Raw genomic sequence first — 25691 nt, 5'->3', positions numbered from 1 at the left:
TAAGGGCCAGCCACTCAAGATTTCTGCAATTAAAGCAGAGCACCAACAAAAGCATAATTGGTACCTTGTGAGATCACTTGGGCAGCCCAGTCAAACCATTTAGCATGGCTTATGTTGCCTCAGAAGAGAGTGAGAGATATTAACATATAGGGTGTGGTCTTGAGACAGTACAGATGAAAGTCATTTTCTTAGCCAATGTGGTTGCCATAAAGGTGGGCACCAGAGTAAGTGCAGCTTGCTGTGCAAAGGATGGGAATGCTCCTTTGAGCAGGGAGTCCTGGGTACAGGTGCTCATTTTAAATATTCTTGAAATAGAGCTGAGAGGACTCCTGCTTGGCAGCAGCTGAGCTAAATGAGGATCTTTTTCTTTCTCACTGAAAGTTATAATTCTATTCCTGCTATTCCAGATCCCCTTGCCTAGGAAAATTAATATGTGAACCCACTTGTTATACTGGAATGATCTTACTTACCACTTAAAAGCTGTGTTACAGAAACATGTCTCACAATATAACAGACTGTATTTGCTAATTTGATGCGTGAAAATTTGAACAGAATTTTATTGGTTTCTTTCAAGCCTTTTCAAACTGGAAATAACTACCTTAGCTAATAAAGAATGGAGTATCTGTTTCAAAACAAGTGTTTTCAAAACCTATAGTCAGAAAACAGCAACTGTGTTTAATGATTATATTGCAATTTAAACACCTCAGTCTATGGTAGTGAATTTTAAATTTACAATTTATTTTGGTGGTCATTAGGTGTTCATAGGCATTTGGATCACAGGGCTTTAAATTGTCAGCAGCTTATAAATATTTATTTGTTGAGGGTACAAGCATCATCTTGTAGTGAGTCATTTGTGGCAATGGCTTAATCCAGGATTATGCAGCATTCAATTATAGCACCAGAGAGGACAGGAAGTAGAGGAGTGAGTTCAAGATTGGGTGTTTTTTTCTGAGCTGATGGTGTATGTCTGATGTAGGCTGTGGTGGGTGAAAGTGGAAACCTCCACTGGTAAGAAAGTAATTGAAGTAATTGAGGTTGAGGCCTGTAAGAAGAAACTGAGGAAATGATTGGTACAATAGAATGGGAGAAACAAGAGGATTATAGATACTGGAGACAGAATGACCCTGGGAGCAGCTGTTGTTAATTGTAAAGAGCTGAAGAACTACTAGCTGTTGAGATACTATAGTTCAAGATTTTAGAGGCAGAGTAATTCGCATATTGCTGCTGTCCATGAGAAATGAGTTTCTTTGGTATGGATGAAGATTGTTGGAGTTGAGGAATAAAAGAGACATTGAAGGGCAGATTGAAAGTGGGTTAGTCTCAGGGACATTGGGAGTCTGCCCTAATGAGACATAGAAGAGGGGTGCATAGAACTTGTATAAACTGGTCCCAGAATCCTCAGTGAATGAGGTAACTGAGATACTGAGAAGGATAGAGGGTGGCATAGTTTGATGGCATGATTGTAAAGAAACAGAACTTTGGGTAAGGGTGCTCAAGCAGTCATCTGAAGTGGCCATGGCGATCCAGGGCAGTGTCCACTGAGGGTAAGAGAATGGGCCCTTTGGGCTCCACAGGGCCAGGGGAAAGTTGTACTTCCGAAGGATAAGGAGGTTGGTGGAAGTCAGAGGGGTATTAGTGGGTGACAGTATAGAAGTAGATCATTGAAGGGGGATAAGGGGTGGACGGCCAGGGTGCTAAGCTACTAGCACAAGTTGAAGTCCAACTAGGTTTTAGAAGCCTGAGAAAGTTGGCTGACTGCAGTCTTTGCCCTGTCTTCAGTTGAAATGTTGTGAAGTTGCTCTGTTATGTTCAAAAAGAATATTCCCTACTTAGGAGGCATGGTTTCTGTTGAAGTTGGTAGTTTCTGTTTGGGCTGGTAAAACTAGAGAGACCTTGAGCAATTTGGGGAGAACAGATGTTCCCAGGAGGCTGGGAAGGAATTGGCTATATCCACCCGTCTCCTTGACAGATAAGATAAAATTTCTAGTAGAACAAAACCACGAATTATCAAATGACTGCATGTATGACTTGAGGACGTGCCTGCATTTTCTTCTTTTTTTTTTTTTTTTGGTCTTGTCTGGCTGCTTACAGGTACTTTTTATCTAGCTTAACATGGAGTTGAATTTACAGAACTCCTAGATGCTCTTGATACTTTGAACTGTGTCTGGAAAACTTACTTACATATTATTTTTTGTTATTATTACCAGTAATAACAATAAATTGTTATTAGGAACAGAGTTCTTTATTTTCCTGGGAAAGGTGTTTTGAAGTTTAAATATGGAAGTTGGTGATCACTTAAGATTAATTTTTTCTAAAACTTTTTATGTTAGTACAAATACTATGCTATGATTTTGCAAGCTTCTTGAGATAAGCAGAGAGGTAAAAACCATTGAGTGTTAATTCCTTTTTTCCATCTTTTAAAAAAATTAGTTAAACTACGTATAATGAAATACACAGATTTTAAATGTTCTCTTGGTTGAGTTTTGAAAAATGCATACACCTATGTAACCACCACTCCAACCAAGATATAGGACATTTCCATCACCCCAGAAATTCCCTGATGCCTCTTTGTAATAAATTCAACAGTTTCCCTTCCACTCCCCTTTCCAGGGTCACCACTGACCTGATTTCTATCACCATAAATTACTTTTGCCTATTCTATAACTTTATATAAGTGGAAATATTAGTATATACTCTCTTGTGTAGTTTCTTTCACTCATACAGTCTATGAAATTCATCCCTATTGTTACAAAGTCTCTTATTTTCATTGCTGATTAGCATTCCATTTATATATATGCCACAGTTGGTTATCCGTTCATCTGTTGATGGACATTTGTGTTGTTTCCAGTTTTGGCTATTGTGGATAAAAGGGCTGTGAACATGGCCAGGCATGGTGGCTCACGCTTGTAATCCCAGTACTTTGGGAGGCCGAGGCGGATGGATCACTTGAGGTCAGGAGACCAGTCTGGCCAACATAGTGAAACCGCGTTTCTACTAAAAATACAAAAATTAGCCGGGCGTGGTGGCAGGTGCCCATAATCCCAGCTACTTAGGAGGCTGAAGCAGGAGAATCGCTTGTACCTGGGAGGCAGAGGTTGCAGTGAGCTGAGATCCTGCCTGGGCAACATAGTGAGACTCTGTCTCAAAAATAAAAACGTTCGGGGGAGGGATATGAATATTTGTGCATAAGTCTTTTTGTGGACATATGTTTTCTTTTCTTTTGGATAATTACTCAGAAATGGAATTCTTGGATCATAGAATAGGTGTATGTTTAACTTTATAAGAAACTGTGTTTTCCAAAGTAGTTGAACATTTTTTACACTCTTAGCAATGTGTAAGAGTTGTATAATAGTTACTCCACCTCCTTGCCAACGTTCAATGTTATTCTCTTGGGTGCTAATGGCTCTCACTGTGGTGTTCATTTGTAGTTCTCTGATGACTAAGGATGTTTAGCACCTCTTCATATGCTTATTGGGTATGTATATAATTATGAAATGTCTGCTGACATCTTTTGTCCATTTTATTTAATTTGGTTAAAAAATTTTTGGTTCTTTATATATTCTAGAAACAAATCATTAAAAAAAATTAACCAACATCTCTCCCTTCCCCCAGCTAAGTTCTTTCTTAGATAGATGTGACTGTTTTCTCCTAGTTTGTGACTTTAATTTCATTTTCTTAATGTTTTTTGAGGGACAGAAGTTTTTAATTTTGATGAACTTCAGTTTTTAATTTTGATGATTTTTAAATTTTGATAAGGTTTTAAATTTTTGATAATTTTCAGTTTTTTCTGGTTGCTTTATGTTCTGTGTCACCTGTCCAGGAAATCTTTGCTTACCCCAGGTTGTGAAGATTTTCTATCCTACGTTTTTTTTTTTTTTTTTTCCAGCCCAAAGGAGAGCAAGGGAGAGAGGGAAGGAGAGACAGAAGGGGTTGGGGGAAAGAGAAAGAGAGAGAGAGAGAGAGAGAGAAGGCAGTAGAGAGAGTGCGAGGCGGAGGGGGAAGAAGAAAAAGAGAGAGGGCGAGGGAGCCAGAGAGCAAGAGCGACAGAGCCCCAGAGAGGGAGCGCTCCGCTCTGGCAGACAGGGCCTCTTCTATCCTACGTTTTCTTTTAGAAGCTTTATAGTTTTGGCTTTTACATTTAGGTTTATATCTCAGATTGGGTTTTGTTTGATATGTAAGATAGGGGTCAAGGTTTATTTATTTTTTTACTTGTAACCCTAGGAAGAGTTTTTTAAACATTTATTTTTTAAATTTTTATTTATTTTTTATTTACACATTATTATTGTACATATTTATAGAGTACAGTTTGGTGTTTTGATACATATCTCTGCTGTATAATGATCCAGTCAGGGTAGTGTATTCATCACGTGATACATTTATCATTTCTTTGTGATAATAACCTTGAAAAGCCTCTCTTCTAGCTATTTTGTGATATACAGTGTTTTACTGTTAACTAGTGACTCTACTGTGTGTTAGAACATCAGAATTTATTCCTCTTATCTAACTGTAAGTTTGTACCCACTGACTAACCTTTCCCCATCCTCCACTTTCCCCTCCCCGCCTCAGTCTCTAGTAATAATTGCTGTGCTCTATTCCTATGATATCAACTTTTTTTTTCTTTTTTTTAAAGATTCCACATATGAGTGATGTCATGCGGTATTTGTCTTTCTGTGTCTGGCTTATTTCACTTAACATGATGTCTTCCAGGTTCATTCATGTTGTAGCAAATGACAGAATGTCCATTTTTTTAAAAGTTGAATAATACTACATTGTGTACATTTACCATATTTTCTTTATGCATTCATTCCTTGTTGGACAGTTAGGTTGATCTCATATCTTGGCTATTGTAAATAGTGCTACAGTAAACATGGGAATGCAGATACCTCTTCGACATACTAATTTCATTTTCTTTGGATATATACCCAGTAGTGCGATTGCTGGGTCATATGGTAGTTATTTTTTTTTCCCCCTACACACAGAGTCTTGTTCTATCTTCCAGGCTGGAGTGCAGTGACACGATCATAGCTCACTGCCGCCTCGAACTCCTGGGCTCAAGCCAGCCTCCCATCTCAGCCACCCAAGTAGTGAGGACTACAGGCATACACCACCATGCTTGGCTAATTGTAAACATTTTTTGTAGAGATAGTGTCTTGCTAATGTTGCCCAGACTGGTCTCATACTTCTGGGCCTAAGTGATCCTCTGGTCCCGGCCTCCCACACACTGGGATTATTGGCATGAGCCACTGTACCTGGCCTTAACTTTTAATTTTTTAAAGAACCTCCAAAGTCAGGCCAGGCACGGTGGCTCACGCCTGTAATCCCAACAGTTTGGGAGGCCGAGGCAGGCGGATCACGAGGTCAGGAGATCGAGACTATCCTGGCTAACATGGTGAAACCCTGTCTCTACTAAAAATACAAAAACAAAATTAGCTGGGCATGGTGGCAGGCACCTGTAGTCCCAGCTACTTGGGAGGCTGAGGCGGGAGAATGGCGTGAACCCGGGAGGCAGAGCTTGCAGTGAGCTGAGATTGCGCCACTGCACTCCAGCCTCGGCGACAGAGCAAGACTCATCTTAAAAAAAAATAAAAAAAGAACCTCCAAAGTCTTTTTCATAATGGTGTACTAGTTTATAATCCTACCAGCAGTATAATAGCTGTCCTAACAGGAATGAGGTGGTATCTCATTGTGGTTTTAATTTTCATTTTAAGGTTTTTTTTTTCTCTGTATATTTATGCATCTAGTTGCTTTACATCGCTTGTTGAAAATACTAAAGTTGAATTGCCTTGTTCCTCTTCCAAGGCATTTTCATTTTCAAGATCGTTGTTGGCATGTAAATTTCACGATTAATTTATTTTTTCAAAAAAATCTATTGAGATTTTGATTAAGATTACTTTGAATCTGCAGATCAATATGAGAGACTTGACATGTTAACAGTATTCAGGCTTATCTAAGGAGAATGGTACAGTATGTCTCTCCACTTTTTAAGGTCTTCTCTAATTTTTCTTAGCCATGTTTTATAGTTTTCAGTGTAGAGATCTTACATAGCTTTAGAGTTATTCCTAGGTCCCTGGTGTTTTTTAATGTTATAGTATTGATTTTTTAAGTTTTATTTTCTAGTTGTTGCTAATATAGAAATACAATTGATGTTAAAGTATTGGCTTTGTATTCTGAGACCTTGCTAAATTCACTAGTTGGTTTTAGTAGTATTTTAGTAGATTTCACAGTGTTTTCTATACATATGATTATGTCATCTGTGAACAATGACAGTTTTACTTCATCCTTGTGCTTTTTATGTCTTAATACATTGGCTAGGACCTCCGGTACAAGGTTGAATGGAAGTTGTGGAAGTGGACATCTTTGCCTTGTTTCTGATCTTAGGAATAAGGATTTAATAATTTACCATTGAGTATGATATTAGCTGTAGGGTTTTTTTAATGTTCTTTACCAAACTAAGAAAGTTTCTGTCTATTCCTAGTTTGTTGACAGTTTTTATCATTAATAGGTTTTGAATTTTGTCAAATGCTTTTTCTGTATCGAGATGATACGGGTTTTTATTTTGTTAATATGGTAAATTATACTGATTTTTAAAAGGTTAACCTTTCATATATAGTTGGTCATGATGTGTTAATCCTTTTATGTATTCTTGTATTGAATTTGCTAATATTTTGTGGAGAATGAATCTATGTTCATAAGGGATGTTGTTCTGTAATTTTCTTTTCTCATTATGTTTTAGTAAGTTTTTTGTATCAATATGATGCTGCTGGCCTCATCAGATGAGTTAGGAAGTATTCTCTTCAACTATTTTCTGATAGAGTTTATGTAAGATTGGTGTTGTGTCTTCCCTAAATGTTTGATAGAATTCACTAATGAAGCCATTTGGACCTGGAGCTTTCTTTTGGGATAGGTTTTTAATTGAAATTTTTATTTCTTTTAGTTTGGTAAATTATGTTTTTAAAGGGTGCTTCTGTTTCATCTAATTTGTTGATTTTATTGTCAAAGTTGTTTATAATAATCTTTTTATCTTTTTAACATCTATAGGATTTGTAGTAATGTTTCATTTTCATTCCTAGTATTGGTAATTTGTGTTTGGTGTTTTTTCTCTTTTTTCCTTGATCAGCCTTGTGAAGGGTTTAACTGTTTTATTAATCTTTTCAAATAATACTCTTTTGGCTTCATCCTTATAGTTAATATCTTTATCATATGGTATTTGATCAGGGAAGGTAGCCTGTATGATTTTGGTTTGAATCTGTTTTTATATTTTAAAAAAATTTTAAATGCATGTGGTCTAATTCATGATTAATCCCCCCTCACTTTTTCATGTCCCATAATTATATGTTCAAATCATCTATGTCCACACTCAATTTGGTGACCTTTGATCTTTTTTTTTTTTGATCTTTTTATTTTTTAAAGAGAGAGGGTCTTGTGTTACATAGACGGGAGTACAGTGGTGTGATCATAGCTCATGGTAACCTCAAATTCCTGAGCTCAAGCCATCCTCATGCCTCATCCTCCTGAGTAGTTAGTACTACAGGTGTGTACCACCACTCCCAGCTAATTTAAAAAAAGTTTTTTATAGAGATGGGTTGTTGCTGTGTTGCCCAGGCTGGTCTTGAACTCCTAGCCTCAATGGATCCTCTCGTTTCAGCCTCCCAAAGAGCTGGGATTACAGGTGTAACACCATGCCCAACTGTTTTGATCTTTTGATTTCTGAGAGGATGTTAGTTTCCAATTGTGATTGTGGATTTGTGTGTTTCTTTTTGCCTTTTTGTCCGTTGGTTTTTGCTTTCTATATTTGAAGCCCTTTTTTTTTTCAGTTGTACTACTGTATCTTCTTGTGTTTTTTATTAATATGAACTCATTAGTAAATTTTATATTAATACATTTAGTATGAAATCCTTTCAACTTGAGTCCTAGTTTGTCTCATGTCAGTACTGCCTCATGTAATTTTCTTCTTTTTATTTATCTGACATATATTTCTAAGTAAACAGCACCTATCTAGACTAGACTAAGACCCAGACGTAAGAAAAAAGGCAAATTTAAATTATTTACAATTTTTCCTCTAACCCCTTTCTCCAGCACCACCAATCCTCCATTCCTGGATATTTGCTAACACTCCTGCCAGCAGGGAGAGGCTTTTGCAGAAGGGTCTGCATTTCTGTCTCTGCTTTCAGTATCTTTTTTAGGATAAATAAAAGCAGTGCTACCCAGCTAGTGCTGTGGATGGCAAGCCACCCAGGTGCCGGGGCAAGAGACTGAAGGCACAAGCTGTTCCAGTATAATAAAGAAAATATATAGAACAAGAATAGTTATACTAGAAATAGAATATAGATATGATTATATATGAATATGATTAATCATTAGTTTGTAGCATTACTCTTTATTCCAATATTATAATAATCTCTGTTCTACAATTACAACCTAGAAAAAACCAGGCCATACAGAGATAGGAGCTGAAGGGACATGGTGAGAAGTGACCAGAAGACAAGAGTGTGAGCCCTCTGTCAAGCCCGGATAGGGCCACTAGAGGGCTCCTTGGTCTAGCGGTAACGCCAGTGCCTGGGAAGGCACCCGTTACTTAGCAGACCTTGGTCTAGTGGTAGCGCCAGTGCCTGGGAAGGCACCTGTTACTTAGCAGACCAGGAAAGGGACTCTCCCTTTCCCCGGGGGAGTTAGAGAAGACTCTGCTCCACCACCTCTTGTGGAAGGCCTGACATGAGTCAGGCCCGCCCGCAGCCATCTGGAGGCCTAAACGTCTCCCTGCGATGCTATGCTTTAGCAATCACGTTCCTGGTCCACTTTCATGTTCCATCCTGTACACCTGGCTCTGCCTTCTAGGTAGCAGTAGCAGAATTAAAGTATTAAAATCTTTGATCTCTCCGAGAAATGCATAGAAGAAATAATGACATAAGCTGCCCCCTCTCTCTCTCCACCTCAGCTACCAAATAGGGAAGGGCTGGCCCCCTGTCCGTCGGACACGTGACTTATGTGACCTTACCTATCATTGGAGATGACTCACACTCCTTACCCTGCCCCCTTGCCTTGTATACAATAAATAACAGCACAGCCAGGCATTCAGGGCCACTACCGGTCTCCACATCTTGGTGGTAGTGGTCCCCCAGGCCCAGCTGCCTTTTTTCTATTTCTTTGTCTTTTGTCTTTATTTCTACGATCTCTGGGCTCCGCACACAAGGAGAAAAACCCACAGGCCCTGTAGGGTTGGACCCTACAAGTTCAGCAGCTTTCCCCTATGTGGCGTGCCTTAAATTTCATTTCTGCATTAATGATTTTATTACACCTAGTTCAGAAACGAGAAAACTAATTTTACAGGATAAATACCTGTAGGAGAGTGATTTGTTTCTAGGTCTATATTCTTAGGAGGTATGAGATCTCCATCTTGACCTCTCTGCATACTGTGAGGTTTCAGACCCCATAGTGCCGGCTCAGTAAATGTGAAATTTGCATTTTGGCTGTTCTCCTCAGTATCTTTCCCCCTCTAACTTGTGGAATATATATGTCATGTATTACTAGAGGGACACCTGGATAGAACTTTAAATAACAGTAAATCAATTCAAGAGAAAGTTACTCCCTGCTCTTAGTCTTTCAGTTCCTTGGATGATCATGGAGAAATCCTCTGTGTGATTTTTTTTTTTTTTTTTACATTTCTCAAACACTTGATTATACCTCCCTCCTCCCTTTTTATAAACAATGAGCTAGGCTCAAGTTCACTGCCTTCTTGGTAGGCACCAGAATTGAGCTAGAATTTAGTACATTTGTTTTTCTTTTGTTTTTTTGATAACTCTTTTTTTAACAGTAACTGTTGATTTGCCACTGAAAAGTAGTGATTAAATTTTGCCTTAAAAATTTTTATTTTAACAAATTAAATAAGTTTTAAAGAAAAATATTAAATACAGGCAGGATAAAAGGGTGTGACAAAATTGAGATCCTGATACGTATGGAAGATTGTATGTGCCCTGGCTGAGAAGGTGGTATGGGAGTGAGTGAAACTTCGGAGTCACTTCTCCGGCATTCCAGGCTTTTCATTTATTTTTGTTTTGTCTATAGTACTAACCTCTTGGTTAACAAGCATTTATGTTTTGTGCAGAGAGCTGTGTCCTGCAGATACCATGAAAAACATAGTGTTCTTCCCTTTGTAGTCTTGGTAGGGAAGACAGCATGTGCCTGCAAAACACCTGGTGCAAGTGTGTACCATGGTAAATGCTATCAGAACAGCAAGGACCTTGTGTTGTCAGAGGAGGTGGAGGTCATCTCTGGCTGGAGGCTTGAGGCTTGGCTCAGGCTTATGTTTTATCCGAGGGGCCTTTCTCCCTTTCATTTTGAATCTCCCTTCCTAAGTCTACGTAAATTTTTTGGGGAAGGGGCATTTCTTTGTAGCTGTTCCTCTAAGAAGCACTGTGTCCAGAAGAAAGAGCATCACACTGGCCCTCAGAAGACAGAGTGGCTCCCAGAGTTCTATCTAGTTCTAGCACACCTGTTTTCAGCTGGATAACTGCTTAATTGTTTCAAGTCTCAATTTCTTCATCTTTCTTGGTGATGATAAAACCCCGTGTCTTTTTTGCTTCATAAGGCAGCCCATGTTAGGGCCATTTGTGATGTTCATTTGCTTATCAATATTATCTTCACTCTATTTGTATTTGAAATACTGATAGGGATGATTTTGAGAATATTTTAAGTGTTTAATTATTTTTTTCCTATTTTTTTCTAGGTCTTGATGCAGAACTTTATTATGTGAGAAATGACCTTATTAGTCACTACGCTCTATCCTTTAGTCTGTTAGTACCCAGTGAGACAAATTTCCTGCACTTCACCTGGCATGCGAAGTCCAAGGTAAGAGAGTGGCTAACCACAGACATCATGACAGGGTCACCCAGCCACAGAGGCAAGGGCTGTGTTTGAGGACTGGGCTGCTGTCTGTACTGAAGGGTCCGCTGGTGATGTGATATAATAGTACTGAGTCTTTTCAGATTTATATTTCAAATATTTGGCCTATTCCTCTAAAATTTCTTGAATCCTTTAAAACGAAGGTGGCTATCATTTAATTGATTAGCACATGACACAACACTTAACATCCTTTTAGGCTCTTCAAACAGAGATCCAGACCTAGCTTGAAAAGGGTACAGTTGGACCCAATAATGCCTGTGCTGCTGTGGTGAAAGGAGATGGGTGTAGGGGTGGAGATTGGTAAGATAGGCTTTTTAGACATGTTGGACAGAATGGATACAGTTCTCCCACTCATGGAGAAACGGTGTAAGAAAGGTACAGCAGATGCAGCCCCCATGTGTCCTGTGGTGAGGCTTCTTTACCCATAAGGGCTAAACCCAATCACTTAAGAATCTCTTGCCTGGGCTACTTGTTGCTGAATTCTTCACATTGCCTCTGACTGCCTGGGTCCCTCAAACATGGTAAGTTTTCTCCTAAGTCAAAGAGTCGGAGGCTGAGCATGGAGGTGCCTCCTGTACCCAACCAACTTCAGTTTCTTTTATCAGCTTTATATAGGCTTTTGAATAGGATTTTATTCAGGAAATAAAAATAGTCTTGCTACTATAAATAAGAATACCTATTGTAGAGTTTTTAAAAAAAGTATTATAGAGTAGTGTCTGTCATAATATTTGCTCCAAGTTATTTAAATTGGCCACTTTAATATAGATTTTTAAAAATCTTCATTTTTTTCTACTTAGAAAACAACAGTGATTATTGGGAAAATTTAAATATTACAGAAATGTTTTAAGAACTGTAAGACTAGGCCTGGCGTGGTAGCTCACACCTGTAATCCCAGCACTTTGGGAGATTGAGACAGGTGGATCACAAGGTCAGGAGATCGAGACCATCTTGGCCAACATGGTGAAACCCCATCTCTACTAAAAATACGAAAATTAGCGAGGTGTGGTGGCACACACCTGTATTCCCAGCTACTCAGGAGGCTGAGGCAGGAGAATCACTTGAACCCGGGAGGCGGAGGTTGCAGTGAGCCGAGATCGCACCACTGCACTCCATCCTGGGAGACAGAGTGAGACTCTGTCTCAAAAAAAAAAAAAAAAAAAAAAAAAAGAAAAAGAACTGTTAAGACTTTGTAGTTCTATACTCAGAAGTAATTGTTTATAGTTTGGTATAACTTCTTCAAAGTCCCCTTTTTTCCCTTTTTAAACAAAAAAGGGATTTTTAGACATGTATGTTGAACAGTACTTTTTCCCCTACAGAATAACTTATCTAGGCATCTTTCTTTTTCTCTCACTCATTCTCTTTAGTGGTTTTATAATATGAGATTGTATGGATGTATGCTATATTGCTATCTGTGAAGTACCTCGTTGATGGGACACATGGATTTTTAATAGCATTTTATTATTTCAAACAATGCTTCCCTTCACCATTACACAGTTTCCCTCATTTCATTTTATAGGCAAAATCCAGGTAATGGGATGATGAAAACAATTGGTAGTTCATCTTTTATTGATGTTTCTACCTTTGCTATTTCTTTTATTTAAAAATTTTTCAATCTTTGCTTTTGATGAATATAGAAACACAGAAAAAAATGTGTGTTAATGTGTATCCCTGTGTGTGTATATGTACATATATATGTGTGTGTATGTATATAAATATGTTAAGAACATCTTTGTTCAGAAGTTTTTGTGCACTTGTGGCCTTATTTCTGAATAGTAAATTACTGCTGAGAAGTCAAGTGGCTAGGCCAATGTGTGTGTCTTTAAAACTTTGAAAGATACTGCCAGATGTACCAGTGAATAAGTGCTTATTTTTGACCTTCATTTTCTAATACCAACATTTTAAGTATACTTGTTTGCCTTCCAGTCTCCCTCTCCCTCCCCCTCCCCATACGTCAGTGAGTATTTTCTAAGAAAAAGGGCATTCTTTATACAACCAAAATACAATGATCAAAACCAGAAAATTTGACATTATTATGTTATTATCTAATCCACAGTAGTCACATTTTATCAATTATCACAACAATGTTCTTCATAGCTAATTTTTTACTAGTTGATGTCTCTTAGTTCCCTATCAGTCTGGAACAGTTCCGTAGCCTTTCTTTGTGTTTTTTGACCTTAACATTTTTGAAACTTACAGGCCAGTAATTTTGTAGAATGCCCCTCAGTTTGTGTTGTCTGAGGTTTCTTCATGATTAGATTCAGGAATATCTCTTTGGCAGTGATACCACAAAGGTGCTGTCCTTCCCAGTGCACAAGGTGCCAATTTGTCCCATGACTGGTGGTGGTAACTCCGAACACTCTTGTCACCAGATTTCTCCCCTGTCAAGTTTTTTACTTTATATATAGTTAGTAAGTAATTTGTGGGGAGATAATTTGAAACTATCTTTTAAAAAAATCTCATTCCTCATCATCCTTTCAACCACTACTTTTTGCATCTGTTTTTGGAACTAGTTTCGTATTTCAGCCTGTGGTGTGGTGAGGGTAGTGTGTTTCCTCTCACTGGAAGAGGTCAGACCTACACTGGATAACCATTCAATAAGGCTGTTATAGAAGGAATTCAAGTATTTGTGGAGTGGTTGTTACTGAATTTTAAGTTCCCTTGCAACTCTGAGGTCCAGTGTTTCTATGAACATCTTTCAGGCAGAGAAGCTTCTTATATTCTCCAAAAAGTTGATAGCTAATTCTTTGTTGTTATTCTTACCTTTGATGTTGATACATATAAAAACAAATAATAAATGTATTTCAAAATGGTGAAAGGTTTATTAGAGAATTCTGTTCTAGGTACTTCTATTGACTTTGAACAGAGTGTGAATATTTCTGGGCACACTTAGGAAAAAAGAATGCTGATATGAGAAGGTTTCCTGGGCAAGTGTATGGGTAGTGATTTGTGAGTACAAAGGCAATGTGGGAAGTGGCAGTCAGGACTGAACAAAATAAAACCTTCTTTTACTGATTCCTTTAAAACAGTTAAAATACACCGTTTGTTATTTGGAATGAGCTCAGGGCCCTGATGTTGCTGGTAATGGGTGTCTGAGTCTTAGGAGCCTGTTACAGGGGGAAGTTGGAGTGGGAGAGAGCAGGTAGGAGGGGCTCGGGTGAATATATATGTTTGAAGGGGAAGCAGTGTTAGCATGGTACATTTTGGGTTAGGAGAAGCCTTGGTATAGCTGTAACTGTACTCCCATATCATTCACATTATTTTATAGAGCATAATTTCTAAGTTACCTCTTTGGCAGGTATAAATATTATTAGTGCACATTTGGGCTGCCACTGCTGGTATGATATTCTTTGTGAGGCAGAAGTTTCCTGATTTTTTTTGGAGGGTATGACTATTTTCATGTCTAGGCCAGAAATGTAGAAGGGATCCTAGTTTCCTTCTCCTATACTTTCTAAATCTAGTTGATTCTCTCTAATAATTACATCTTAAATTTGTTTCCTACCTCTCTTGTGACCCAATGCCTCACACTTAGTTTGGGCCTTCATTGTTTCTTGCTGGATTCGGAAGTGGTCTTCTAACTGGTCTCCTTTCCTCTGGACTGACCTCTTGTTGCACCCTCCACAAAGCCACCTTAGGCTTCTCTGTTGCTACTGGAATAAAGCTCTTGATTTCGTAGGAGGCCTTTATGATCTGGTCTCGGCCTTTCTTTTCTGCCTCCTATCTAGCCAGTCATTTAGTGTCATTTTTGTCTGTCTTGGAATTTCATGAATGCCCTGTGACCTGTCACAGTGCTGCTGTTTGCCACAAATGCCGTTTTTTCATTCTTTACCTGAATAACTCCTGTTTACCTCATAAAGCTGTGACCTGTTGTCACCTCTTCTCCAGCTGTGTCAGGTGCCCTTTTCTGTCTGCACAGTGCCCTTCTCTCTCATAGCCCTAGTTATACTTTAAGAATATTGTAATAGTTGATTTTCTTTTCTTTCTCCCTCCTACTTGCTGAGCACCTTAAAGGGTATCCTCTGTGCTTGGTATAGCACGTGGTACTAACTGCAGAAGAGATGTGCAGGTAGAAGCCACAGGGCCCAGCTCAACAAATGGGGAGCTTCTGAGCAGTTAGGGCTTTTCAGAGTTGGGATGTGCGGCTTTAGGAGTGGTGACTTTTCTATTTCTGGAAGTGTGAAAACATATAGGCTGGGTACACTCGACAGTAGTTGCACAAATGGGATTTTTCAGATATTTTACTCATAATAGAGTGAGGTTATAAGTTTGGAAAAATGAGTGGGTTGAATATAAACCTAAACTGATTTCACAAGTTCATCTGTAACAGGTATAAAATTTAGAGGAAAGTAACCGTCTTACGATGTTTTTTTAGTAAAAAACTAAGGAAATATGTCTGTGTTAATCTAGTTTCAGGCTTCAGCCACTATTGCAGTTCCCAATTCTAGGTAATAATCTCTGGTGATTTTAGCACAGTTGATTACGTTTATTTATTTTAAAAATTAATCTTATGAGTAGATAATATATGCACATAGTAAAAATTTAAAAAGCATAAAGGGTATACAGTGAAAAATAAGTCCCTTGCACCTTCTAGTACCATCCCTGAGCAATCCAGCCACTTAGTTCCCCTTGCCTGAGTCAGCCACTGTTGCCTGATTATTGTCTTTCCTTTGGAAATAGTTCGTGTGTATATAAGCTTCCATGCATATATGTATATATACATCTTTCAACAGCTAACATACCACCTACTTTTCTGCAGTTTGCAGAGCACTGAACAATATCCTGGTCAAGGATCTCTGTCACTTGATACAGAGTTGTACTTTTTCCCCCTTCAAATGGCTGTATTACTTATTATTATATAGTTGTACTTTGGTTATTGATCAGTTCCTGTGAGGAAATTAAGACCCAGATTTGGAAAGGGATTTGCTTAAGGTAGGAGAAGTAGGGTTAGAGGAAGCAGAAGGTAGAGATGACCTGAAATGGGAAAGTCACACGTGAGGGCAGGGGAGGCTTGATGAAGGGTTTGTCACCTGATCATTTAACCCTGAGGTGTAATCATGAACTTTCAGAAGGAGGGCCGTGGCTCTCAAGCTCTAATACTTTATCAGAAACCCTCGGTTCTTGCTTTTTAAGGTTTGCCAGAAGATGAAATATTTGCTTCCAGAGATCTGCAGGCTCCCTGATATGTGTCGGTTCAACATCGTAGATACTTTAACATTAGTTTCACATATCACAGCTTCTGGTAATACTGTTTCTCAGTGTTTTCGCCATTTTGTCTTGCCACACAGATTGTGGTCTCTTCAGAGGCTTGAAGCTGTCTTACTCTTAGCGCATAGGTCACACATGCCTTAGTGAGTGGTCAGGAAAGACCATTGTGTTAATTGCATTTTGAGTTGGGAGTAGAACTCTGGTATTGCTTCTTTTTCACAAGACCACACACTTAAAAGCAGGCTACTGAGAGGCTTTAACAGATAGTTTCTTCTGTATTCCAGAACATTCCCCAATATCCAGGAGAAACATGTAACTGTGTCTGTTAAGTGTCAGTAGCTTTTTTTTTTTTTTTTTTTTTTTTTTTTTGAGACAGAGTCTCACTCTGTCGCCCAGGCTGGAGTGCAGTGGCGCTTTCTCTGCTCACTGCAACCTCCACCTCCTGGGTTCACACCATTCTCCTGCCTCAGCCTCCTGAATAGCTGGGTCAACAGGCGCCCGCTACCATGCCCAGCTAAGTTTTTTGTATTTTTAGTAGAGACAGGGTTTCACTGTGTTAGCCAGGATGGTCTCAATTTCCTCACATCGTGATCCACCCGCCTCAGCCTCCCAAAGTGCTGGCATTACAGGCATGAGCCACCGCGCCTGGCCGTCAGTAGCTATTTTAGATATCTGAAAAGCGAAAATTTGCCAGAATGTAGCAGAATATTCCCACTACCCACCCTTACCCCATGGCTGTTCTGTGCTTTCAGGAATTCGTCATCATTTTCTAGGAGTTGCAGGGAACTTGTCCAGAGTTCCAGCAGGCACTGCTGGAGGCCAGCAGCTGTGTCCTTTGCAGAGTGAGGTTTCTATGAGAAAGGCATTACTTCTAGTAAGTTCAGAGAAATTAAAAGGCTATTTGGCTGTAGACAAGTGTATTCACTTTAAATCTGTACTCTCTGTGTTCCAGAAGGAAATGGCTTTACTTACCAGCTTCCTATTTGTAATTGCCATTTGTTTCCAAGTAAGGGAACATAAGCAAAAATGTTTATTTTTCAGTTTATTCAAATGTTGATATTTTTGGTAATTTGTTTCTTTTTTTTTCCTTTCCTTTTATTTTCTTTTTCTTTTTCTTTTTTTTTTTGAGACTGAGTCTCACTCTGTCACCCACACTGGCGTGCAGTGGTGCGATCTTGGCTCACTACATCCTCCGCCCCCCAGGTTCAAGTGATTCTCCTGCCTTAGCCTCCGAGTAGCCGAGTAGCATGTGCCCACCACCATGCCCACCTAATTTTTGTATTTTTAGTAGAGACGGGGTTTTACCGTGTTGGCCAGGCTGGTCTTGAACTCCTGGCCTCAAGTGATCCACCTGCATTGACCTCCCAGAATGCTGGGATTACAGGTGTGAGCCACCACGCCTAGCCTGTAGTTTCTTTTCTGAAGTATTTTGGCTCACTCTACATTCTGATAAACAACTGCTGTTCAAATTTCTTTGTCCCAGTAGACTGTACATTTAACTTTTGAGCAGATCTGTTTCTTTAAAGGATGATTGGCAAGTGAGAGTCCTTACAGATCGATACATGCCAAACTAGAGAAAATTGGACTTCAATAATTGGCAATTTCTTCTCTAATCCCAGAAACTGCAGTTTTAAAATTTATATCTTAAAGACTGCAGAGGGAAAAGAGAACTACCTTGTGAATGCCTCCCATTTTTAGACAGTTCCTCAAAAAAGGAGCCAGCAAGGAGGCTTCCACAGTTTCATGCTTCATATTCCTCTAAGCTGCTGATAGGACCAAAGGGGCTGCCTTCTCAAATCTCCTCCTCAGCCCTTTGCACCTCTCCCTGTGCCCTCATTGGCCAGCTACACTCACAGCCTCATTTCCTTCCCTTCTCTCCTCCTTTTCACCTTGCCACACTGAGATGCTCAGGCGCCAGTCTTAGCTGCTTTTTTAACTGCAGTTATGGCCCTGGACCCCTTTGCCAGGCCCTCTCTGCTTACTTTGGGGTTCTGGTCTCTGGTCTGCTCCTTCTCTCCTTGTGATAACTGAGACCTAGAATAAAGGAGACAGCAAGTTTCTGGGGAAATAGTAAGTGTGGCTTTGAATTTGTTAAGTTGGAAGGCTGTAGGATAATTAGATAGAATTGCCTAGTAGGTAATTGGACACTTGAGAGGGATTGAAGGTAAAAGAGAGTGAGAGAAATTGACGATTAAGATATCCCATCAGTGGTGAAATGGGCTAGAACCCTAGTGTACTAGGATTGAAGGATTTACATTTGGAGAGGAAAATGGACCTTTCCTTGGGACTAGAATGAAAAGAATAGATGCTCTAATAGATCTGCCGGGGTGTTGAAAAGAAAGGCAGAAATGGGGTTCCTCTGTACTAGTGGAAAGGGACAAAAACATTGAGTGTGAGGAGGTGGGGAAGGCCTGTAAGGTTGGAATAAGACGAGGGAAAAGAGGGTCAGTGAGGAAGGGATTGCTGAGTAGAACTAAGGGCCTCCCCTGAGACTGGAGGTCATTGTTGTGTAAGAGCTCCTTTTCTGTAGGATGGATTTCCTTCAGCAGTGCTGAGCAGCAGGAGTAGAGTAAGAAGGGGTGGTCAGGATGCTAGAGCTGCCCTTTGAGGGTTTGGAAGGAGTCAACCAGCTGAAGGTGCCAATATGACTGTCAGTAATGTTGCCTTCTTTAGGGCTTGGGCTGTGGAGAACATGAAACTAGGTGTTCACGGCTATACTGGAGAGAAGGGAAGTGGCTTTAACTGGCTGCTGCATCCTGCTATGAACACAGCACCTGGCTCATAAATGTGCCTCATAAATGTTGGCTGACTTGGAGTGATGGAATCAGAGAACTAGTTTTGTAGGAATCAGAGGTGGTGATGGGATCTTTGATAGAATGGCATTTTTGCATTTGTTTTGGTAGTGAAGTAATTCTTTAGCGTGTCAGGATATTGAATACTGAATATTGAAGCCAGGGAGAACATGGCAGGAGACCAAGGCCTCTGCAAGTCCTGTGTGGCTTATTGGTGTTGATGGCATGAGAAGTAGCCATTATGAGTAGAAGCTGTGAGCTTCGGCCGGGCGCGGTGGCTCACACCTGTAATCTCAGCAATGTGGGAGGCCAAGACAGGTGGATCACTTGGGGCCAGGAGTTCGAGACCATCCTGGCCAACATGGTGAAATCTCGTCTCTACTAAAAATACAAAAATTAGCTGGGCATAGTGGCGTGTGCCTGTAGTCCCACCAGCTACTCGGGAGGCTGAGGCAGGAGAATCGCTTGAACCCAGGAGGTGGAGGTTGCAGCGAGCCGATATCACGCCACTGCACTCCAGCCTGGGTGACAGAGTGAGACTCGGTCTCAAAAAAAGAAGTTATAAACTTCAAAGTAGAGGGGATTTGCATGAGGGCATGAGGAAGGGATGTCTGGGAAGGACCTAGTGATCCTAAAGAGTGCCGACCCTACTGTCTAGGCCCTGAGGGTCAGGTGTTGTAGGAACTGAATGATAGGAAGGGGAACAGATGACTTCTGAGGAAAGCCAGGTTGTGGGAGAAGGTGGGAAGACATTTGTGAAGAGGCAGAGAGTGTAGGAGGCTGTTCTGAATAGGGAGGTTCTCAGAATGGGGAAAAAACAGAAGGCCTGCAACAGTGTTCTTGACAGACCCAGGAGGGTTTGTGTCAGAATCCCTGGGGCCAGCAGTGGGCTGATGATTATGGAGAAGTGCAGCATGGCAATAAGGTAGCTGTTCTGGAATGACTGCTGATGCTGCTGATGTCAGAGGAGACTTGTGCCAGGCTAACAGTATGTATTGCATTAATGATCTTATTTGATCCTCATAACATGTATTACCCTTATTTTACAAAATATGGAAACTCAGAGAAGTTACAAATTTACCTAAGAGTCACATGGTCTCATGGTTCCAAACCCAGTTCTTGCTGGCGGTGCTGATTTCTTTTGTGCACCTACCCTTCATGTATGGTCCTGTTCAGAGATAGCATCGGTGTAGGGATGTATAATGCATTCTTTGATGTATTGCTGGAGAGCTTGCTCATTCCCTGCCCAAACTTGCTTGGCTGTGGCTCTCTAGCACCCCCTGGTGGCAGCAATGGTATTGTGATATGCTAAGGTGAATGTGAACACTTCCTAGCCAAGGTACCTCGAAGTCACTGATGTGCTGCAGCAAGAACATTTCCTTTGTTGGGAATGTGGCACTTATCAAACACAGCCTTTAACAGTTGTTTACGTACCTATCTTAACTGCAAAGGAAGAGTTTAATGTTTGCATACCCCTACAGTGTTTAGCTAAGACACTTTAAATAGAGTGTGAAAGGAGAAACCCCAAGGGGAATCAAATTCTGGACTGAGCCCTTCTTATTCATGGGTAACAACGCCTTCCACCTTAGCCCAAGCGTAAGGGCCATCCCTTCCCTTATATCTGGGATGATACTCTTTCCCTCTTTTCTTTCATCTTTATTATGTACCATTTCGTTAGCTTTTTTCACTAGCATATATACATATTTGAATATCTCATCTAAAAACAAAGAAAAGCTTTGGAACACCCCCCACTTCACCATCTGTCTCCCATTCTTCTAGTTAAGTTTCTTGAAGAATGGTTTATCGAACATCTTTCTTCTCACTCTTTTCCCAACCTGCTGCCTCGTGGCTCTGCAAATCTCAGTCTGCCACCAATGATACCTTTTGTGACCACTGAATGAGAGAGGGATACCATAGTTATCAAGAACCTGTGGGCAGGGCAGAGAGTGATGTGAACTGTAGGGCTTCATTGAAAGTCTTGATGCTGGCAGCCATTCTGAATTTCAGCTATTGCTTTGCAGTTTGAGCTGCTTCTTTCATGAACTCTCCATAGCAACAGAGCCTTAATTATTGATGCTGATTGGTTCTGTTAAGCCACATTGGGTAGGCCAAGTATTGATAGATAACATTGGTGTTTTAGAGACATCTCATGGGTTGCCTGTCTTCCCTTCTGGATTCTGAATCACTTAAGAAGTAGATCCAGAGGTCAAATGGGGATCTAAACATGAACTTTCTTTTTGGTGAGAGCAAGACTAGAGGATGTGACTTAGATATTCTATGAGAAATCTACCTTGGAATCTGCTTATTGTGTGAGTGGGTCTGCAGAGCAGACCTTCCTCCACCAGCCACAAGGAGGCCCTCCGAGCTTGGCTTTCATTTATCAACCAGAGAAGGCATTGGTAGCTATTTATGGTCTGTCAGTTACATATCTCACCGCTTTGGTTCTTCATATCTGGCTCTCCATGGCCTCTCTGTCAGTGCTGCATAGTTCTCAGCAGGATTTCTGACCCTAGATGGCAGGTTTTATGGAAGAGTGGTGGTCCTGTTGTGGACTTAAAATAGAGGGTGGCTTACTTGGTTGAATTTTTATCCAATTGAAAATTCTTAGGACTGTTTCTGACAATTTGCATTTTTTTATAGCTAGATTATTTGTACATATGAAAGGCTCATCCATTGATTAATGAGCCAATTAATGAAGTCAAGCTGATAGTATCCTTCTTGTTATCACAGGTCCATTTTGTTTATTTTTGTCTATTTTACAGGTTGAATATAAGCTGGGATTCCAAGTGGACAATGTTTTGGCAATGGATATGCCCCAGGTCAACATTTCTGTTCAGGGGGAAGTTCCACGCACTTTATCAGGTAAGTAAGAGTCTTCAAAGACAGAGTTAACATACTTTTTCAACTGCATCCCCTATGGCCCCAAAACAGAAGTTTACTGATGTGTAGTGTGTATTACTTGATAGGCATAAGATGTATGAGTACTGTGAAAAGTAATTTTTGTAAATATTTGCACTGTGTTCTTAAACCATTCTCTCTTTTCTGTCCTTCTGGAACTCTCTGTGCTCCGCCCTCCCTGTCTCTTTTTCTGCATTGCTGGTACTTACCTCCACATGAGTCCCTGTGCCTGATCTTGTTTCCCTTTGATTAGGCACCACATTTCACCCTGTGGCCCAGATGATCTTTGCACGGTCATGTTTGACCCTGTGACGTGAAGCCCATCAGTGCTCTCCACTCCCATCAACTGAACATTCCAGACTCACCACCTTGTGTCCTGGATCCTTTACCATCTGCCCCTGCCTGCCTGTCTAGCCTTGTTGCTGCACTTGCCCCAGAGTTGTAGCAGTTCCAGACTACATGCAGTTCTGATCTTCAAGCCTTTGCATGTGCTGGTCTCAGTATTTGGGATCATCTTTTCCTCTTTCTGCTCGTGAACTCCTTTCTATTCATCCTACTCATTCTGCAAGACTCAAGATCTGCACTGTCTTTTTTCTGCCACCTTCTCTTCTTTCATTTGTTAACTTCTATTCTTCCTACCCCTTAGAACCTTATATTTAACTGTTTTTGCACTGATTACATATCTAGCAATTCCCTTGATGCATAGCATAGAGTATGGTGCAGGATAGGCACTCAGTACAGTCTGAGTAAATGAATAAGTGTATTATTTACACCAATTTAACTGCTTTTGAGCTAACTTCTTAGGCTCTTGAAGTTGTGGTATTTGTAAGAAATGGATATTTTTAAAAATTGAAAGTATCAGCCACAATAGTGTTGTGAAACTTTTTCTGGCAGTCATATTCACTGTTATCAGTGACATACATTAAGCTTAAATAAAGCACAGGAGGGCTGCTTAAATTTTTATGGGCAGTAAAGGAATTTAGAAATGCCCATATCTTTAATGCAGTCATACAGATGGTAGAATGATAGGTTTTAAATTTGTAGGAAAAGAATCTTAAAGATTGGGGAAAAAAATTATATGCACTGAAGTCTGTTATCCCATTGTTACAATTATGGATTAAAATCAATTTCTGTTGAGAAAGGTGATAGCTGACAATTTATCAGATTCATTTACAGGTTTATATTTAATCTTTTTATTAAGAGCAGACATACTTGCATTTTGGTAGTGAGTTGTCTTTCCATTTGATCATGTAATTTCTGTTGTTACTATTGCTGATGTGTCTGTTAAGGTTTGCCTTATGATCCTTCAGTTTTAGTGTACTGGAATAGCAGGACTTATGAGACAAAGTGGTGTATTAAAAACAATGAGCAGAAGTTGAAAACAATTATCTCTTCATTGATGTCTTGGTTTGTTCTTTAATACTAACTTTTATATCCATAATGAATTAAATGCTTAATGTCTAGAGGTGTGGTAGTCTGAAGATCTCTAAAAACTTTTGTTTAGTTACTTTATTTAAATGTATTACTTTTAGTTTTCTTGCAGCAAAAATAAGTAATTCTAAAATGTTTAAAAGAATCATTTTGGGGCATTAATGTTGATTTTTAGAAAATGTAAAATATTTTTCTTATCTTTTTTAAACAGTGTTTCGGGTAGAGCTTTCCTGTACTGGCAAAGTAGATTCTGAAGTTATGATACTAATGCAGCTCAACTTGACAGTAAATTCTTCAAAAAATTTTACCGTCTTAAATTTTAAACGAAGGAAAATGTGCTACAAAAGTAAGGAATTTATTTACCAAAATATGTTTTACATGTATGTGAGAAGGTGAAAAATAGAGTTTGTTGTTTTTTCACAGATTTAAGTATGTCCAACTCATGATTATAGTTGCAAGTGAGAAAAGAGCACTGGCAGGTGAAGTTTTGAGATAATCCCAGATGGTTGGTAGCCAAGAATCTCACTCAGGCCTCATTCAGTCCATGCTTTCTCAAATCTTTTGTCAGAATTGCTAAGATGTTTTCCATTAGGAATAGTGCTAAAATGGTTGAAGAGGTAAAGAAATAAGAAAAATCTGTTGGGACTTCTGAGTAACTATGTTAACTGTGTTTCCCTTATCAAGTTACTTTTATGCAGAAGCATTGCTCTCGGGTGAGATAGACCTGGGTTGGAATGGCAGCTCTGCTCTTTTCAGGATATTGATACAAGTTACTTAACCTCTCTGAGGCTTAGTTTTTTCATCTGTAAAATGGGCATAATACCTGTTTCAGAGGTTTGTTGTTTTTTACGGTTCATTAAATCTAGCCTAAAACTTAGAATACCGTATGTGGGTACTTAGCAAAGTTAGTTCTTTTTGGTTTTGAATTATCTGTTACTGAAGAAATCGAGTGGATATGAAAGAGTTCCAGCATGCTAGGTCATAAATCAAAGAATTTTAGAGTTCTCCTTACAAGTTTAGTCCAACCCACTCACTGTAAGTTCCACAAAGCTACAGTGACCCAAATTTACAAGGTCACGTAGGTAGAATTGGTTAGTATCTAAGATGGGGGGGGGAAATATACTTTAAAAAAACCTCGCAAACCCTCAGTGCTTACTGTGTTCTAAGTGCTTGATAGGTATTACACCTGTTTAATCCCTACAGCAACCCTAGGCAATGGGTTCTCTCATTGTCTTCATTTTCAGAAAAGGAAGCTGAGCTTCAGAGAATCTAGCTTGTCAAGATCAGATAGCTAAGTGGTGCAGCTAGGATGCAGACCTGTTCTCTCAGCCTCTTTGTTAAACTTTCTTTTAATAAATTTCCCAATTGAAATCAGTGCTGAGTGTTATGAAAACACCTAAGGCCAACAAGTGAGTTGAATTGGCTAATGTCTGGGTACATGCCAATAAAAAAGCTGCACTACATTTGAATAGACATTTTAAGAAAGAAGAGTTAGCATCTTTCAGCTTTAGTGTTTTGGTACAATTTTCAGTTCTACTATATTCAGTTATATACCAACTTCCATGTAATGTTAAAGACAAAGGAGATTTCAGAGACTCTCTACTCCAATGTAGTCATTATATATTTGATATAAGGAGATTGGACCCTTGGCCACCTAGGCTACCACAGCTAGCCAGTGAGGAGTGTAAAACATTCAGTTCCTTATCCTCAGAGAGATGGGCATGACTGTACCATGGTGCTTCATCTGTTACTCTTAAGTAAGGCAGAATGATAACCAGACATGGTGTGGCCTCTGGATCCCACCAGTGCTAATATCTGCTAAGGTTAATGATCAGCTGATACTCAAAATGGTCACATACTTTCTCCATTTTCTTTAATATGTGTGTGAAATTAACATTAAAATTCTGTGTTGGAGTAATTTTCTATTCTGTTTTAGACTTAAGTTTTTCTCTGGCCCTCTGTATTTGTTGGTCATGGTTTTGGCCACCCTAGTCATCCAGTTCAGGCTCATGACTCTTACTTTATTATGTGATCCTAATGTATTTATTTATCTGGTTTTCCAGCCTACTATATTTCAAAAACTGTCTGCAACAGAAAACATCTGTACTATATGGAATGTTAGTAGGTGTTACTAGCAAGAAAAGTTTCTTTTATCATATGAGGATGGGAATTATGGGTTAGACAAGTTTTGTGACCCCATAACTCCTTTCAGTCTTTATATTCTAATGTTCACTGTGAAGCTCCAAAGAGACACTATAGTATGTGGCTTTTCCCAAACTTCTTGATCATAGGAACATTTTCACTGAGCATCTAGAAGTAACACCCTTTGGCTAACAGTGGTATAGACTATTGATTGGTGACTGTAGTGGTGATTATCAGAATAGTAACATAGCTTTCATTATCTCGCAACACATACCTGTTGCTGAGTTCCAGCAATGTTCTGATAATTATAGTAATTAAGGATTTTCA

General features: G+C 39.5%; 1 protein-coding gene across 3 annotated transcripts in view, besides 2 other annotated features; it reads left to right on the top strand.

Moving 5' to 3' along the window:
- The window catches only part of RYK (receptor like tyrosine kinase), a 93727-nt gene that overhangs the window by 17597 nt on the left and 50439 nt on the right, over nucleotides 1–25691 (top strand). For all 3 annotated transcript variants that reach the window (XR_007095716.1, NM_002958.4, NM_001005861.3), the window contains exons 2-4: nucleotides 10724–10845; nucleotides 21656–21755; nucleotides 23434–23568. Coding sequence is in view for 2 of the 3 variants with exons in the window: in NM_002958.4 (NP_002949.2) it covers nucleotides 10724–10845; nucleotides 21656–21755; nucleotides 23434–23568 (357 nt within the window). In the remaining variant the exon portion in view is untranslated. The remainder of the gene's footprint in view (nucleotides 1–10723; nucleotides 10846–21655; nucleotides 21756–23433; nucleotides 23569–25691) is intronic.
- Nucleotides 8764–9058: an enhancer, noted in NCBI's record as "tiled region #4898; HepG2 Activating non-DNase unmatched - State 8:EnhW, and K562 Activating DNase matched - State 8:EnhW". NCBI's record gives its function as "activates a minimal TATA promoter and a strong SV40 promoter by Sharpr-MPRA in HepG2 and K562 cells {active_cell/tissue: HepG2 | K562}" and the evidence as "EXISTENCE:reporter gene assay evidence [ECO:0000049][PMID:27701403]".
- Nucleotides 8783–8942: an enhancer, noted in NCBI's record as "active region_20561". NCBI's record gives its function as "activates an Ori minimal core promoter by ATAC-STARR-seq in GM12878 lymphoblastoid cells {active_cell/tissue: GM12878}" and the evidence as "EXISTENCE:reporter gene assay evidence [ECO:0000049][PMID:35858748]".

Source organism: Homo sapiens, chromosome 3 (genome assembly GCF_000001405.40).
Source record: "Homo sapiens chromosome 3, GRCh38.p14 Primary Assembly".
NCBI classification, from domain to species: Eukaryota; Metazoa; Chordata; class Mammalia; order Primates; family Hominidae; genus Homo; species Homo sapiens.
Note: the sequence above shows the minus strand (reverse complement) of the source record. Positions and strands in the feature narration are given on the sequence as shown.